This window comes from Homo sapiens, chromosome 7 (assembly GCF_000001405.40).
Source record: "Homo sapiens chromosome 7, GRCh38.p14 Primary Assembly".
NCBI lineage: Eukaryota > Metazoa > Chordata > Mammalia > Primates > Hominidae > Homo > Homo sapiens.
This window is the reverse complement of record NC_000007.14, coordinates 21280683-21297655: the sequence shown is the minus strand read 5'-3', so window position 1 is coordinate 21297655 and position 16973 is coordinate 21280683. Positions and strand designations below refer to the sequence as shown.

The 16973-nt window shown below is 38.1% G+C and overlaps 1 annotated feature.

Moving 5' to 3' along the window:
- Nucleotides 16042-16543: an enhancer, noted in NCBI's record as "NANOG hESC enhancer chr7:21320731-21321232 (GRCh37/hg19 assembly coordinates)". NCBI's record gives its function as "activates a minimal SCP1, AML or CMV promoter by ChIP-STARR-seq in naive H9 embryonic stem cells {active_cell/tissue: H9 hESC(naive)}" and the evidence as "EXISTENCE:reporter gene assay evidence [ECO:0000049][PMID:30033119]".

Here is a 16973-nt window from a genome sequence, read left to right as displayed (position 1 = left end):
TCCTGGTTTAAATGTCATATTCTCAGAGAGACCTCCTCTAGACACCCAGTCCAAAGTAGCAAGTCATTCTCTACCACAGTGGTTCACAAAATATGGTCTGGGGATGCCAGGGATTCCCCAAAATCTTTGCAGGGGGTCTGTTACATCAAAACTGTTTTTATAATAATACCAAGTCATTCTTTGCCTTTTCATTCTCACTCTCTTCCAAGTATAGAGTAGAGTTTTCCAGGGACTATATGATGGGTGATCACATCTCTCTGATGGACAATGGAATGTGTGCTTGAGTGTTCTTCTGTTTTACACATTTCTCAGTTTTCATTTCTAATACTGTAAATATTGCTATGTATACATAACCCACAGTGGGTTCTCCATAATTTTTAAGAATGTGAAGTGTTCTTGAGAATGAAAACTTTAAGAACTCTGCTTTATGCTTCATCCTATTACCCACCGCCACCCCCCCCACCCTTTTCTTTTGAGATGGAGTTTCACTCTTGTCCCCCAGGCTTGAGTGCAATGGTGCAATCTCGGCTCACTGCAACCTCTGCCTCCTGGGTTCAAGCGATTCTCCTGCCTCAGCCTCCCGAGTAGCTGGGATTACAGGCGCCCACCACCATGCCCAGCTAATTTTTGTGTTTTTTAGTAGAGACAGGGTTTCACCATGTCGGCCAGGCTGGTCTTGAACTCCTGATCTCAGGTGATCCGTCCACCTCAGCCTCCCAAAGTTCTGGGATTACAGGCATGAGCCACCGCGTCTGGCCCATATTACCCTTTTTAAGTAAATAGCCTGCAAAACTCTTCTACTGTCAGATTATTTCTTAACTTTTTAATTCATTTATTATATGCCTTCTCCTATCAGCACCACAAGAGCAGAGATTGTGCCTATCTCCTTTACTACTCTATTTTCAGAGTTTTAGATAAAGCCTAGCACATAATAGTTGCTCAATAGATATTTGTTGAATGAAAGGAGAATGGATAAGGAACAGGAAAAGAAAAAAATTCAAGAAAAGATAAAAACAACCTCAAATGCATATAATAATGTTAAATGTTGTCTGTACTCAAGGAAATAGGACTTTAAATGAAATTTTTAATGAAGATATCAAAGTGATAGTACTTGGTGCTGGTAAGGCTATAGTGAGATGGGAATTTTTATTCCCGGCTGAGTGTACTGTTTCACTGTTTTTGGAAAGCAATAAGAGCCTTCAAAATGTGCCTACCCTTGCTTTTTTTTGTGCCTACCCTTTTTGAAGCAATAATTATACTTCTAGTGATTATTTTTTAAGGAAATAATTTGAAATATCAAATGTATTATTTATAGTAGTAAAACAGGAAAAAAATCTAAATGTTCAAAAATGCTTCAATGGTTACATCAATTATAATATATCCATGTAATGAAATATTTTACAGCCATTGAAAATAACATTTGTAAATCATGCTTAATAGCACAGAGAAATGATTATGTTTATAATTTAAATGAAAAAGCATGATTATAATTTATAAACACTGATCTCAACTATAAAAAAGTACCAAAAATACTGGCATGAAATACATCAAAATTGTAATAATAGTTATCTTCAGGTGATAAGATTATGGATGATTTTTATTTTCCTTATATTTTTCAAGTTTCTCACAATAAGTCTCTATTAATATAATAAGAAAGCTATTTTAAATCACAATACATATGCTGCAGTTTAATGGACAAAATGTTTAAAATTCTCAGTTGTTAAGCTATCATAAAAACAAAATTGGAGACACAAAATGGCATAAAAATTATGATTTGAGCATTATGAGTCAGTCTGCCTGGATTTGACTTCTCAGCTGTGAGATTCACTTGCAAATCATTTAAATCCAAAATCTCAATGTTTTCATCTGTAAGATGTGATAATATGGCTTAGAGAGTGGCTATCAGGATTAAATTATGTGTGTGTATATATATATATATATATATATATATATATATACACACACACACGCACACCCACACACATACACGCCTAGTACTTGATATCTGCTAACACTGAATAAACATTACTTCTTATTATTATATTTAACTACTTTTTAATCTGGACATATTTCGGAAAATAAATTTCAGATCTCCTGGCTTCCCGATTGCTCAGCTAATCAATATCCACTGACAAGATCACAGAGGTCTGTTTCTCATAGCCTGGATCTCCATGTACTTAGAGGAATATACCAAAGAAGATAATACAAATACTCAGAACATGAGCCTATGGGGAAATTGGTGAAAGCTGATAAATGGACACCAGTGAGGCATCGTTAGTTTTTAAACTTTAAGGCTTAAAGGTGGCTATAAAAGGCAAGCTAAATGACAGAAAGCTCTGGCCGTTAGAGACTCCAGCTATGCTTGGGGCTCTTAGCAAGTAGGGAGAGTTTTCTCACTGCGCTGCCTGGGACACAGACAATTCTCTTTTTGTGTTCTCTATCTAATGCCTGTTTCCTCTCTCCTGGAGCACCAAGTGCTGGGGAGGACCCAGCCAGCAGCCTGGACACCATCTTTGACACCTCTCCCTTCCCCTCTTTCACAGAGTTGAATTCATCTCAAAATCCTGCTGTTTTGACCCCCTAAACATCTCTCCTTAATCTTCCCACTCCTTTCTGTCCTCAGTGCCTCTCGCCTGAAACTACAATCTCCTCAACTGTCTGCCTTCCAGCTTGCCCCTGTCCTATCCTCCTTACTATTATAAGGCTCCTCAAGAATTATATGACATTGTGTCCCTTCTGTGGTAAAGCATTTCTATGATTTCTCATCATTGTTGCTGTTTGGATAAAGCCTAAACTTTTGCTGAACTCATTAACCTTCTAGTATCCAAACACCTTAATTATGGAATTATGTTCAGATCCTTGAAATCAACAGGGTCTCAATTCTATATTTTTTTCCTGAAATCTCTCCATGCTCAAACTCTTTCACTCTTCCCTCCCCCTACTCATATGCTATGGACTGAATATTTGTGTCTCTCAAAATTCATATGTTGAAGTCTCAACACCCAATGTGACCATATTTGGAGATAAGGCCTTTATGGAGGTAATTAAGGTTATATGAGGTTATAAAAGTAGCACCCTGATTTTATAGTATTAGTGTCCATATAAGAAGAGAAACTAGAGAATTCACTGTTTCTTCCTCTTTCTCCCTGGCAGGTGAGAACACAAGTGAGAAGGCAGCTGTCTACATGCCAGGAAGAGAGCCCTCACCAGAAACTAACCATGCTGGCACCTTCATCTTGAACTTCACAGCCTGTAGAACTTCAAGAAATAAATTTATATTGTTAAGCCACTTTGTTATGACATCCTGAGCTGACTAAAACGCAATACTCTGAAAGCCTTCACTTCGTCTCTCATGACATCTTTCAAAAGACCTCAACCAAAGCAACCTTTTCAGTGGGAAGCCTGAGGGAATGAGTGCTATCCTAAATTACTCATCTGGATACAGTACCCATCCCCTGGCTCTCAGAGAACCCTGAGTTATTACCATTCTCTCTCTCATAACATTATCACTTGCCAGGATTTGAATATGTCCCCTCCAACATTCAGATGTTCAGAATTAAAGGACAATGTAATAGGATAAACAGGTGGGAACTTTAACAGGAGATTAGGCCACAAGGACTCCTCCCTCCTGAATGGGATTAAGGCCCTTATAAAAGAAGCTTTGCAAAGCATTTGGTTAGCTTGTCCTTCTGCCAACTGCCATGTGATGATATAGCTTTGCTCCCCTCTGGAGGTTGCATCACCGAAGTACCATCCTGGAAGCAGAGAGACTGGGCCCTCCGTCACCAGCCAGTACTTTGATCTTGGACTTACCAGCCTCCAGAACTGCGAGAAAATACATTTCTTTTCTTTATAAATTACCCAGGCTGTGGTATTTTGTTATAGCAGCACTAATGAATGAAGACATCACTTCATGTTTAATATTTGGACTCCCCATTGGACATAGGCACCATGAAGCCAAAGAAGCCTACTCTGCATAGCCCCAGGATCTGTCATTTGGTCTGCTATGGTGATGTCTCTGTGAATATTTTGTTGAATTGATTTGACTGTTTGAAAGAGCAGGCTATTTTCACTCATTCTTTCTCCTTCCTAGCCATGTAAAATCTGTATTGAAATTTTTGAGAAATATATTGAAGAAAGGATAAATAACAACTTTCTTATTTTTATTTATTATGTTTAAAGAAAAAGAACAACTTTAAGGGCAGAAAATTAACTTATAATAGAGTGTAAGAGAATGGTTTTTTAGATGATTTATCAATATCTATGAGGCTAAAACCAAATCAAGGAAGAATTATAAAGTGTTGCTAAGACCACCTGGGTGCAGCAGCTCAGGCTTGTAATCCCAGCAATTTGGGAGGCTGAGGTGGGCAGATCACTTGAGGCCAGGAGTTTGAGATCACCCTGAGCAACATGACAAAACTCCATCCCTACTAAAAATACAAAAATTAGCGGAGCATGGTAGCATGTGCCTGTAATCCCAGCTACTCAGGAGGCTGAGGCAGGACACTCGCTTGAACCCAGGAGGCGGAGGTTTTAGTGAGCCAAGATCATGCCACTGCAATCCAACCTGGCCGACAGAGCAAGACCGTGTCTCATAAAATATATATATATATATTCTAAGACCTTTATGAGGACTTTTTAATTCCCCTATGAATTGCATTACATAGTGGCTAAGAGAGAAACAGGTTTGGAGTCAGGCTGCCTTCAGAGGGACCCTAGCTCACCACTTAGCAGGTGCCTGACCTTGAGAAACGGACTTAATTTGTTTGTCACTCAATTTCCTTGGTTGTACATTGGGGATAATAATTATTACCTGCTTCCTAGAATTATTGGGAAAATTAAATGAATAATCAGAGGTCTTAGACTAACAGTGAGCACAGAGCACGTATTAAGTACTTAATAGATGGGAGCAACTATAATTTTTACAATTAAAGAAGTTTAGGAAAAGGCAAAAGTTGGTTTTGTTGCCCAACAGGCCACAGATTATGGGCTGGAAGTATGTGTTAGGCACTGTTAAGAATTATGATTTCTTGGGCTCTCCTTCTGAAGTTACCATGTCTGGCACACACTACTTTATTTTATTTATACCCCTCTGTGTTTCAAAAAAGGTTTGAGGGCGCTTACAGATTAACATAAAATACAGCAAAGTAACATGAGTTAAAGGCAGAATGAAAGAAGAGAAAAAAGCAAGAGCAGTGACAGTTGGGCTAGAAATAAATACTATACTACTGAAAATTATGAGTATGTTAAGGCTTATGATGAAATACTGAATCAAAGGAAGCTGGGGTAGGAATGTTATTTTAATTTCTCCTCTATCAGCCCCCTTTTCATCTTATCTTTCTTTTTCAAGATGATTTAAATAATACTCTAATTTTTTAAATCCCAAAGTGTTTTAGTTACTTTAAGCATCAAATCATTCTACACCTATGGATGAAGACAGATTTTTAAATGTATATATATAGACAGAGTGGGTCTCCCTATGTTGCCCTGGCTGGTCTCAAACTCCTCAGCCTCCCAAAGTGCTGGGATTACAGGCATAAGCCACCACAATCAGCCCAGATTTTTTTTTCACATTTTGGAACATATAGCTATATTTAAGCTTTGTGAATAGGTGGACATATTAATTAATGACGATGAAGGAGCTTAACACATTATGCCCCTGTGACCTGCTGGATACCAGTCCAAACTTTCACTTAAGTTGTTTTTTGATATCACAACTTTGTAAAGTAATTAAATATTCCATTTTACAGATGAAGCATAGAAGGGCAAACTACTGTAGTTATAGGTAGCTAGAACTCAAATCCATGTCTGCCTCTGATGCCTAAACTGCCACCATCATATCAGGCACAGCTATTTCAAGAGGTAATATACATATTTGCCCAAAGACATCAGAACAGTTCTAAAAAGTCCTTGAAAAGCTCAGCTACTTGAATTTATTTTCCTATTGAGAGATTTTCTTGGTAAGTGATGCACATCATTACTTGACTGGGTTTACATAATTTGCCGTACTGGTAGCGGGAGAGAAATTTAGGGGTTTGCTGGGAATAAACTGTTGGCATAGATATGCAGGGCTACAGGAATCACTCAGAAGTTTCCAGATCATCTCGCTCGAGTGTGGAAAAAAACAGCAATAAAATAGATTTCAGATAAGCTAATGAGTGTTAAGATTTGGGAACAGATATAGCAGAGCTAAAAACCCATGTCAGGATCAAAGATCTTTAGAAATATAGTTGAAGCCAAGGGGCAAATTAGGATATTAAAGCTATAACGCTTGTTTTGTTCACATCTGAACACTAGGAAATGACTAATTGGAAGTATGAACACTTCTTTCACTCACAGGTAACTTAGACTCAAAAGGCACAATGGAGGAAAAAGTTGAAATTGAAATGTCCCTAGTCATTTCTTCCTCATTCCCCCAGTAAGATACAAGAAGACTGTCATTAATTTATTACTACACAGGAACAGTGGGATTTAGCTTATAAAACATCAGGTCTGGTCGGGCATGGTGGCTCACGCCTGTAATCCCAGCACTTTGGGAGGCCGAGGCAGGTGGATCACCTGAGGTCAGGAGTTCAAGACCAGCCTGGCCAACATGGTGAAACCCCATCTCCACTAAAAATACAAAAATTACCCAGGTGTGGTGGCACGTGCCTATAATCCCAGCTACTAGGGAGGCTGAGCAGGAGAATCGCTGGAACCCAGGAGGCAGAGGCAGAGGCTATATTGAGCCGAGATCACGCCACTGCACTTTAGCCTGGGTGACAGAATGAGACCCTTTTTTTTCTTTTTGTGGAGAACAGGGTCTCGCTATATTGCCCAGGCAGGTCTCAGACTCCTGGGCTCAAGCTATCCTCCTGCCTCTGCATCAAAAAAAAAAAAAAAAAAAAAAAAAAAACCATTCAGGTCTAACCATATTAACTATGTACAATTCTCTGAATATTCCATGAATTTTTTAATTTTTAATTTTTTCCTGAGTGTAAGTACATGTGTCTTTTGATCTGTCTTGATTATACGGTTCCTCCTGTGACCCACTATCTTCTTTCACTCATCCTTTAGGTTTTAGTTAAAATAGGACAAATGAGTTATACACTGCCCTCCTTATACCCAGTTTCTGGGTATGGCAGGGATTGACAAACTGTGTTCAAATGCAGCTGCATGCCTCTTTCTTTTTTCTTTTTTTTTTTTTTTGAGATGGAGTCTTGCTCTGTCGCCCAGGCTGGAGTGTAGTGGCCTAGTCTTGGCTCACTGCAACCTCCGCCTCCTGGGTTCAAGCAATTCCCCTGCCTCAGCCTCCCAAGTAGCTGGGACTACAGGCGTGCACCACCACGCCTGGCTAATTTTTTGTATTTTGGTAGAGACGGGGTTTCACCATGTTGGCCAGGATAATCTCGATCTCCTGACCTCATGATCTGCCCACCTCAGTCTCCCAAAGTGCTGGGATTACAGGCATGAGCCACCGCACCCAGCCCTGCCTTGTTTTTGTCATTATACATCTGCTGGACCATAATGATGCTCAGTTGTTTATGTATTCTCTCTGGCACTTTTGCACTTTATTGGCAGAGTTGAATAGCTGTGACAGACGCTGTCTGGTCTGCAAAGCCTAAAACATTTGCTATCTCACCCTTTACTGAAAAAATTTGCCAACTCTGGTGGTAATGAGAGAGAGACTTTTATTTCTCATTTTATATTGCAAAAAACAAAACAAAAAATATGCAATGGAGGTGATTTGTGTGTGTGTGTGCACTTTTCTGTATATACATTTTCTCTAAAAATATTTTTAATTAAAAATATTTTTAAGTCTGCAGCTCAAATTATATTTCTGTGAGGCCTTCTATTATGGTCTGCCTCCTATATGTTTCTAGAGAGGTATTAGAGTTTTCTATATTAGTAGCTATTATATTGCATGGCAATTAATGTTTCCATGTCTGTCTCTTAGACAAGCCCATGAAACTTCATAATGACTGAGACTGAGCCAATTATTTTTTTTCTAGGGGCTAATCAAGAATATGATGGTTTTACAGCATAATGAGAGAAAATGCTTCTTTACTTTTTTACAAAGTTTTACAAAGTATTTTAGTAATGATTGTTTAATCATCTTCCAGTTTTTGCTCAAATATTACCTAATCAGAGAACACTTCTCTGAATACCCTACATAAAAGAATAGCCAATTACACTCTAATCCCTTTATTTCACTTTTTATTTTTAAAAATCAATTTTATTACATTTATTTAGGGTATAAAACATGAGGTTATTAGATACATAAATAGTAAAAGGATTACTCTACTGAAGCAAATTAACATATCCATCATCTCACATAGTTACCCTTTCATTGGGATAAGAGCAGCTAAAATCTACTCATTTAGCAGAACTCCCTAATACAGTACAATTTTTTAAACTATAATCCTCATGTTGTACATTTAGGTTTCTGGACTTGTTCATCCTATATATCTGCTACTTTTTTTTTTTTTTTTTTCCTGAGATGGAGTCTGGCTCTGTAGCCCAGGCTGGAGTGCAGTGGCACGATCTTGGCTCACTGCAACTCCTGTCTTCCAGGTTCAAGCGATTCTCCTGCCTCAGCCTCCTGAGTAGCTGGGGTTATAGGCGCGTGCCACCATGCCTGGCTAATGTTTGTATTTTTAGTAGAGATGGGGTTTCACCATGTTGGCTAGGCTGATCTCAAACTCCTGACCTCAAGTGATCCGCCAGGCTTGGCCTCCCAAAGTGCTGGAATTACAGGCGTGAGCCACCATGCACCATGTCAGCTACTTTTTATCCTCTAACCTAGATATCCTCATTTCTATCCCACTCTCCCCTGCCCCTAGCAGCCACTGTTTTATTCTCTATCTCTGTATATCTGTATATTTGAATTTTTTTTTTTTTAGATTCCACATAAAAATGAGAGCCTTCAATATTTTTCTTTCTGTGGTCTGGATTATTTCACCTAGCATAACATTCTCCGGGTTTATTAATGTCTGGCAAATGGCAGGATCTCTTTTTTTAAGGCTGAATAATATTTCACTATGTATGTATACATATACATAACAATTTAGACATTCATTGATGGAGTCAGATCGTGTCCAGTTCTTGGCTATTAGGAATAATACCGCCGTGAATATAGGAATGCAGATGTCTTTAGGAGGTGGTGATTTCACTTCCTTTGGTTATATACTCAGAAGAGGAATTGCTGGGTCATATGGTAGTTAGTTACAGTTTTAATTTCTTTAGGAACCTCCATACTGTTTTCTATAAAGGCCACACTAATCTATATTTCTAGCAACCATGTACAAGGGTTCCCTTTCCTTCACACCTTCTCCAACATTTGTTATCTCTTGACTGGCAATAGTCATGTCAACAAATGTGAGGTGATTACTCACAGTAGTTTTAGTTTGCATTTTCCTGATGATTGATGATGTTGACCACCTTTTCATATACCTGTTGACCATTTTTATGTTTTCTGAAGAGAAATGTCTATTTATGTCCTTTGCCCATTTTTAAATCAAGTTATTTGTTTTACTACTATTAAGCGGCATGAGTTTTGGATACTATCACTTTATCAAATGTATGGTTTGCAAACACTATTTTTCAGTCCATAGATTGCTGTTTCGTTTTGTTGATTGTTTCCTTTGCTGTGCAGAAAATTTAGTTCGATGAAGTCTCATTTATTTACTTTTGCTTTTGTACCTGAGCTTTTGGTGTAATAGCCAAAAAACTATTGCCAAGGCCAATATTAAGGAACTTTTCTTCTATGTTCTCTTTTGGGAGTATTAGGATTTCAGGTCTTACGTTTAGTTATTTAATCCATTCTGAGTTCTTTTTTTCTTTGTAGACACAAAGTCTTGTTATATTGTGCAGGCTGGAGTGCAGTGCCTATTCACTGGTGCAATCATAGTGCACTATAGCCCCAAACTCCTTGGTTTAAGCAATCCTCCTGCCTCAGCCCCTTGAGTAGCTGGAACTATAGGTGTGTCCCACCACGTCCAGCTTTTGAGTTTATTTTTGTGTATGGTGTAAGACAAGGGTCTAATTTCATGCAGATATTCTACTTTATAATTTTTATAACACATATAGCTACTTGACACAGTAAATATTTATTAATTTATGTCCCCTCTCTTCTCACTCCACTAAAGTGTCAACTCTCCATGGGCAAGAACTTAGTCTTTACAGTTTGCTGCTATATTCTCAGTGCCTAAACCACTGCTTGGAACATAAGAATGAAACAACTATTCTTATCTTCATTTAATATAAGATGCTCCTTTATTTTATGTACCATAAGAAAGCAAAATTTCTACCACTATGCAATGTATGCATGTAAGAAATCTGCACTTGTGTCCTCTAAATCTACATTTTTTTAAAAAAGCAAGAATATTTTAATAAAACTACAAAATGCCACTGATTAGTAGATGCACCTTAGCTTCAGAATTGTTAAAATGAAAAAAAACATGTGTCTTGGAATCAACGTAATAAAGTTAAGAACTACCTTCACCTCCCACCCCCAACAACAATGACCATTTGTTGATGAGCTACTGGCTTTCATAACTGCCCTAAGAGTTTTCAATCCTTATAACAATTTCTGCTTTCTGGAAGAGAACACTGAGTTTTGCAGTATCAAAGAAATTTTCTCAAGATCAAAGCATGAATCTGGGATTTAGAGTCCATGGCCACCATGTCCATGTGATGGGAGTCCAGCAATAGAGTACCCCCTTGGCAATATAAACTTGCCATTAATTAAAAATTTATAATAATTTAGTGATTATCTCCATAAGACATGTTTAAAAAACATAACCACGATATTATTATCATACCAAGAATTAACAATAATCCCTTTATGTCATGTGATATTCAATCGAATTTTAAATATTTGATTTAAAAATTTTAAAATAACAACTTTGAGATGTAACTTACATTCCATAAAATTCATACTTTTACAGTATACAATCTGATGATTTTTAAAGTATATTTGTGCAACCATCATCACTATCTAATGCCAGAACATTTTTATCACCTCTAAAATGAACATCTCATACCAATTAGCAGTCACTCCCTATTTACCCACAAACTTCCCAGTCCTAGGCAACCATTAATCAATTTTTTTCTATGGATTTACCTATTCTAGACATTTCGTATAAATGGAGTCATGAAATATCTGACCTTTTGTGTCTAGTTTCTTTTACCAGCATGTTTTCATGTTTCATCTATGTTGAATAATATATAATTACTTCATTCTTTTCGGTGGCTGAATATTATTCCATTGTATGGATATACTACATTTTATTTACACGTTCATTAGTTGATAGACATTTGGGTTGTTTCTACTTTTTGGCTATTATGAATAATTCTGCCATGAACATTTATGTACAAGTTTTGTGTGGACATATGTTCTCAGTTCTCTTGGGTATATATGTAGGAGTGGAATTGCTGGGTCATATGGTAACTCTGTGTTTAACTTTTTGAGAAACTGCCATATTGTTTTCACAGTGGCTGCATCATTTTACATTCTCAACAGCAATGTATGAAGATTCCAATTTCTTCACATCCTCACAGGCACTTGTTATTGTTTGTCTTTTTTATTATTGCCATCCAAGGGAGTGTGAAGTCGTCCTATTGTGGTTCCATTAATTTTTAAAGTATTGGTGTCTAAGTCTGCAAACTGTTTATAATTGATCCTTGTGATTGTGATCTCTGAAAATTTGGCAAATTGTCATTACAGCCATATGTGTACACAACCACTTCTATTAAATCCCCAGGGCTCAATCTGATGGATTTTAACAATACTCCTGTGGAATAAGTTGAGAGGAAAATCATCATCTTCAAGAGGTATAAGCTGAGAGAGACTGCCAGCCAAAAGTATTCACAGTTTGGTATTTTATTACCAGGTCGCTCTGCCCATAGATAAGGAATGGGAGAAATAAGAGACACAGAAAAGACTCACTGAATTATATACTCCATTAGAATATCTAAATCTAAAGCAGAACTTGCATCTACAATATGTCTTTTTATGATTTGTCCATTCACTTTTAAAGCCAGGAAGGTGACAATAAAAAGACTCTGTATCATGTAAAGTGACACATTTTATTTTTCGTATTTGTTCCCCAAAGAAGTAGCATTGCAAAGAAATGGCACCTCTCTAAAAGCCAAAGCACTTCCATCATTCATGAGCTCTCTGTGGTGCTGGCAGAAAAGCAGATATTTCAGTTCTCAAAAATCAAGACACAATTTAACTTTTATCAGGGCCTTGATATAAATTGTCCATGTGCATGTGTATACAGATCCGTTTTATATTAGATACCTCAGCCATAAGAAATCGTTGCCTACTGCTGTTTGTCAATCAGAATAAGACCGTAATGTTTATATGAGGTTTCTTTTATGATAAAATAGTGGACAGAAGCAAAAGGACAACGAAATACCATGCCTCCCCAACAAAAGCCCAAATTGTAGTCTTGCAAATATCTATTGCAAAATTTATCTATCCAATGATCACTCTCAGAAAAAAAGGAAACAAAAGGAGACCTTTTACATTGTTAAGTAACAACACGTAAATGTATATTTTATCAAGAAGGTATTCCTAAATACTTTTAATTTTTCCAGGTCAACCTACTGTTATGCCTACATATTGATTGTGCTTCTCAAACTAATCAATTATTTGTATACTTACTTCCATGAATACTCACTGCATTAGTTAACTCATTGAATATATATTGAACATTTACTATGTGCAAGGCACCAGGCAAGGCTAAACTTCTCTTGTTGGTCTAGCTATTGAAAGCACTGAGAACTTCCTTGCCATCTGGATTGACCCCAGATAACCACATCATTCACTTCAACTACTTCACATTTGTTTAAATGGTACTTCGCAGTTGAGAGAGCACCCTGTCTAAAATTCAGCTTTCTCCCATACCCCCACCTCAGACCATCTCCTTCTTTGTCTTGTCTTCAAAATAGTTATTATCTTCTGATCTCTTACATAACGTACTTATAATAAATAAGTTAATTATGTAAGATCTATGAGGGTAGGGATGTCTGTTTGTTTTCTCCCTCCTACCCGCCCCTCATCCTCCAACACACTATGTTATTTCTAGGGCCTGAACAGCCCCTGGTACATAGTTGGTGCCCAATAAATATCTGTTGAATAAATGAATGCATGGAAATGGCCACTACTTATTGGTTTTCCCAGTTTTTGACTTCCCTGATGCCTTTGACATTTTTAAAAGCATACACTTATTAGTCTCTTTTCATTCTAGATAATTTCCCCATATTTGTTTTTGTTTCTAGTTGCTTATTTGAGTTTGTTCTGCAGCTGCTTCTTTTCTCATTCTACTTGTTCTCCCTTGTTATCTAAGCGACCCTCCCACGTTCATCAGGTTGGTGAGTCCCAGTGCTAAACCCTCCCCTATACGCTACTGCCTATAGGCCATCTCTGCGATAGGCATCTTAAATGGAACATGTCCCAAACAGAAATGATCACCTCCCTGTAAAACCTATTGTGAACTTATAAGCTTCACCTTGGTTAATAACATCACTAATACCTGGCCTCCTAAGATAGCAATATCAGACTCCTCAGTTTCTCTCCCTGATAATCTTATGAATTCTACCTCTCAAATATCTCTTGACTCCAGCTTCTCCATGTCCACAGTGTCTAGTCCCTTACCATCTTGCCCCAGACCACTGCAGTCTTCTCTCTACTAGTGTCAGGACCTCTGTACTAGATGTCCAGGAAGCCTCAGGAACCTACCACACTTATAGCCATACTGGGAGGAAGGAGGCTGAGATACTTCTGGCATAAGATATGGTGGTTTTTGCAGCATTCATGGAATGGAAGCTTGCTGCATGCATGAAGCCTTGCTACATGCTGGATCTATGATCAGACAGAAGTTAAACATAACCACATGTGGGCTGGAAAGGGGGTAGGGGTGACAATCATCTCTGAGGCAGCTGGAGAGAAAAAGAAAAGCAGTCCCTAACATGGGGAACCGGCCTGACTCTCACAGCTGTGTCTCTGTGACCTGGCATTCACAGCTAGACGTGTTGTTCTCAGGTCTCTCGGAATTCTAACATCAGATAGGATCACTCTTTGAGTGTGAAGAAGTGACACCAAACAAGCAACAAAACAAAAAAAAACTTTATACTCTTATCTAAGCACAGATGAAAACACTGTATTCATCATTACTGGTTCACTGTGTAAACCATAAAATACCAAACCTCCCCTCTCCCAGCTAATATGAGTGAGGGGTGCTTGTCAATTACAGACTTGGCCTCATTTTTAGTCTTCCCTTATTCTAGATATGATTTAAGATACCCAATCATAGAGTTACCCTGCACTTCCTGAGAGCATCCAATCCAGAGCAAAGCCCTGCTTCCTTGGTCCCTCCCTCAAATTACCTAACACCCATTCAAATGCCATAAATGTCCTTTCTAACACTCTCTGAGATGCCCCACAGTTCCTTATGGGCATGCATTATCCATTTGCAAGAACAAGTAATTCAGCTTGCCCAGCTCTAGGTTTGTTCCTGGTAGACTTTGGCTGGAGAGCATGGACCTTAGTATGGGAACTCTGCTTCATAGTTGACTGAGCCAATCAAGCCATTCCTTTTTGGGAACATGAAATGCTAGGTGGGCAAAGATAAAAAGTGAGGGACTCAAATTCAGGTGATGATCCAGATGCTTGAAGAGAGTTGAATTTTGCAATGTTGAGAATTCTAGTACCAGAGTGAATGTAGGGTCAAAGAAAAGACATCATATGCTACCTCAGATTTTCATGGATTATCGAAAAAAACCCTCAGGGTTTCAGATATCTTATGCCTATAGAGAATCTAAAACTGAAAAGAAGAAGCAATTGCTGACTACCTTGGATATTTGGACTGAAACTCTGGCTTTTTTTTTCATATATTTGAAAAAGATTTCCAGAGTATGCATGGTGTTCCGAGCATTTTTCCAGGAAGTGCAGATATAGCAGCAAACTAAACATACAAGCTTCCCCTTTGTTCTCTTGGATTTGCAGTCATGTCCTGCTTAACAACAGGGATATAGTCTGAGAAATGTGTCAGTTGTTAGGTGATTTCATCAGTGTGTGAACATCATAGAGCGTAGTTACACAAGCTTACAGCATATGGTCTAATACACACCTACGCAAAATGGCACAGCCTATTGCTCCTAGGTTACCAACCTGTACGGCATGTTACTGAACTGAATACTGTAGGCAACTGTAACACAATGGTAAACATTTATGTATCTAAACATAGAAAAGATACGGTCAAAACATGACATAAAAGATAAAAATGGTACACCTGTACAAGAGGCCACTTAGCATGAATGAAGCTTGCAGGACCATAAGTTGCTCTGGGTAAGTCAGTGAGTGAGTAGTGAGTAAATGTGAAGGACTGTAAACTTTATTAACGCTATACATTTAGGCTACCCTAAATGTATAAAATATTTTTCTTCCTTTAACAGTAAATTAACTTTAGCTTACTATAACATTTTAACTTTATAAGCTTTTTAATTTTTTAAATTTTTTTATTCTTTTGTAATAACACTTAGATGAGAACACAAGCACATTGTACAGCTGTACAAAAATATTTTCTTTCTTTATATCCTTATTCTATATGCTTTCTCCTATTTTTAAAATGCATTTATTTTACTTTCTAAACGTTTTTTGCTAAAAACAAGATGGAACACATTAGTCTAGGCTTACACAAGGTCAGGATCATCAATATCACTGTCTTCCCCCTTCACAACTTGTCCAACTTGAAGGTCTTCACAGGCAATAACAGGCATGGAGCTGTCATGTCTTAAGATAACAATGCCTTCTTCTAGACTACCTCATGAGGGACCCGTGTGAGGCTCTTCTTGAGGAAGTTTCACTCTTTTCAGAAATATGGCCATGATGATTTGCTTGGTTTGTTTCATTTTTTCATTACAGATTTGCTTGCAAGCAGATAATGCACCATGAGCAACCCTCTATTAATGAAAACACTTTGGAGTTGGGATCCATGTTTTTAAACTTTTTAAGAAGCTGTTAAGAAGCTTGGTGAGGCCTGCAAAAGCTTCTGCTAAACCCTTCACTGTGAATCTTCTTGGGGGTTCTTCTTTTTTCTTCTCTTGCAGTTTCCTTGTCTCTTGCCTCTTCTTCAGCTGTGGGTTTCTGTTCCAGTTCCAACAACTCCTCATTAGCTAATTCCTCAGAAGCCACCTGCAGCAAAGCCCCAATATCATCCTCATCCACACCCATCTCCAACCACAGCCTCACTGATTTTGCAATATCCTCATCTTTGGCAAATCCTTTGAAGCAACTGATGAATGTTGAGTGTCTCCTCCCAGATGCCATTCAAACACTAATTGGTGACATTACCCCTATTCCAAGCAAGGCTCTTAACATAGCTATAGATGATGTAATCCTTCCAGAATTGCATCAGTGTCTTCTCAGTGTCTTCCTCAGTTTCACCATAGGCTGGGCAAGGACCCAACTCAGGGAGTAGGCCTTAAAAGCAGCTATAAGTTCTTGATGCATTCATTGGATCAAAGAGGTGGTGTTTGTAGGAAGAAACACCACTTTAATATTGGAATGAAGATTGCCAATGAAAGAAGGATGTGCAGGAGGATTATCAATAATAAGCAATATCTTGAACGGTATGTTATTCTCCAAAGAGTTCTCCATTTCGCTGGCATAGCCATTCAGGGGGACATCTTGGAAGAGGAGCTGGGTCATCTATGACTTCTTATTCTCCTGTAGTACACTGGAAGTGTGCATTTATTGATATGTTTGAAGGCCATGGGGTTCTCACTGTGCCATATCACAAAGGATTTCAATTTGAAACCTGCAACATTGCCTCGAAGCAAAACTGTTATCCTGTCCTTCAAAGAATTGACAGTCGGCGTTAACTTGGCTTCCTTATGGATGAAAGTCCTCTCAGGCATCCATTTGCAGAATAGGAAGGTTTCATCCCTATCGATTTGCTCTGGCAAGTAATTTTCCTCCACAA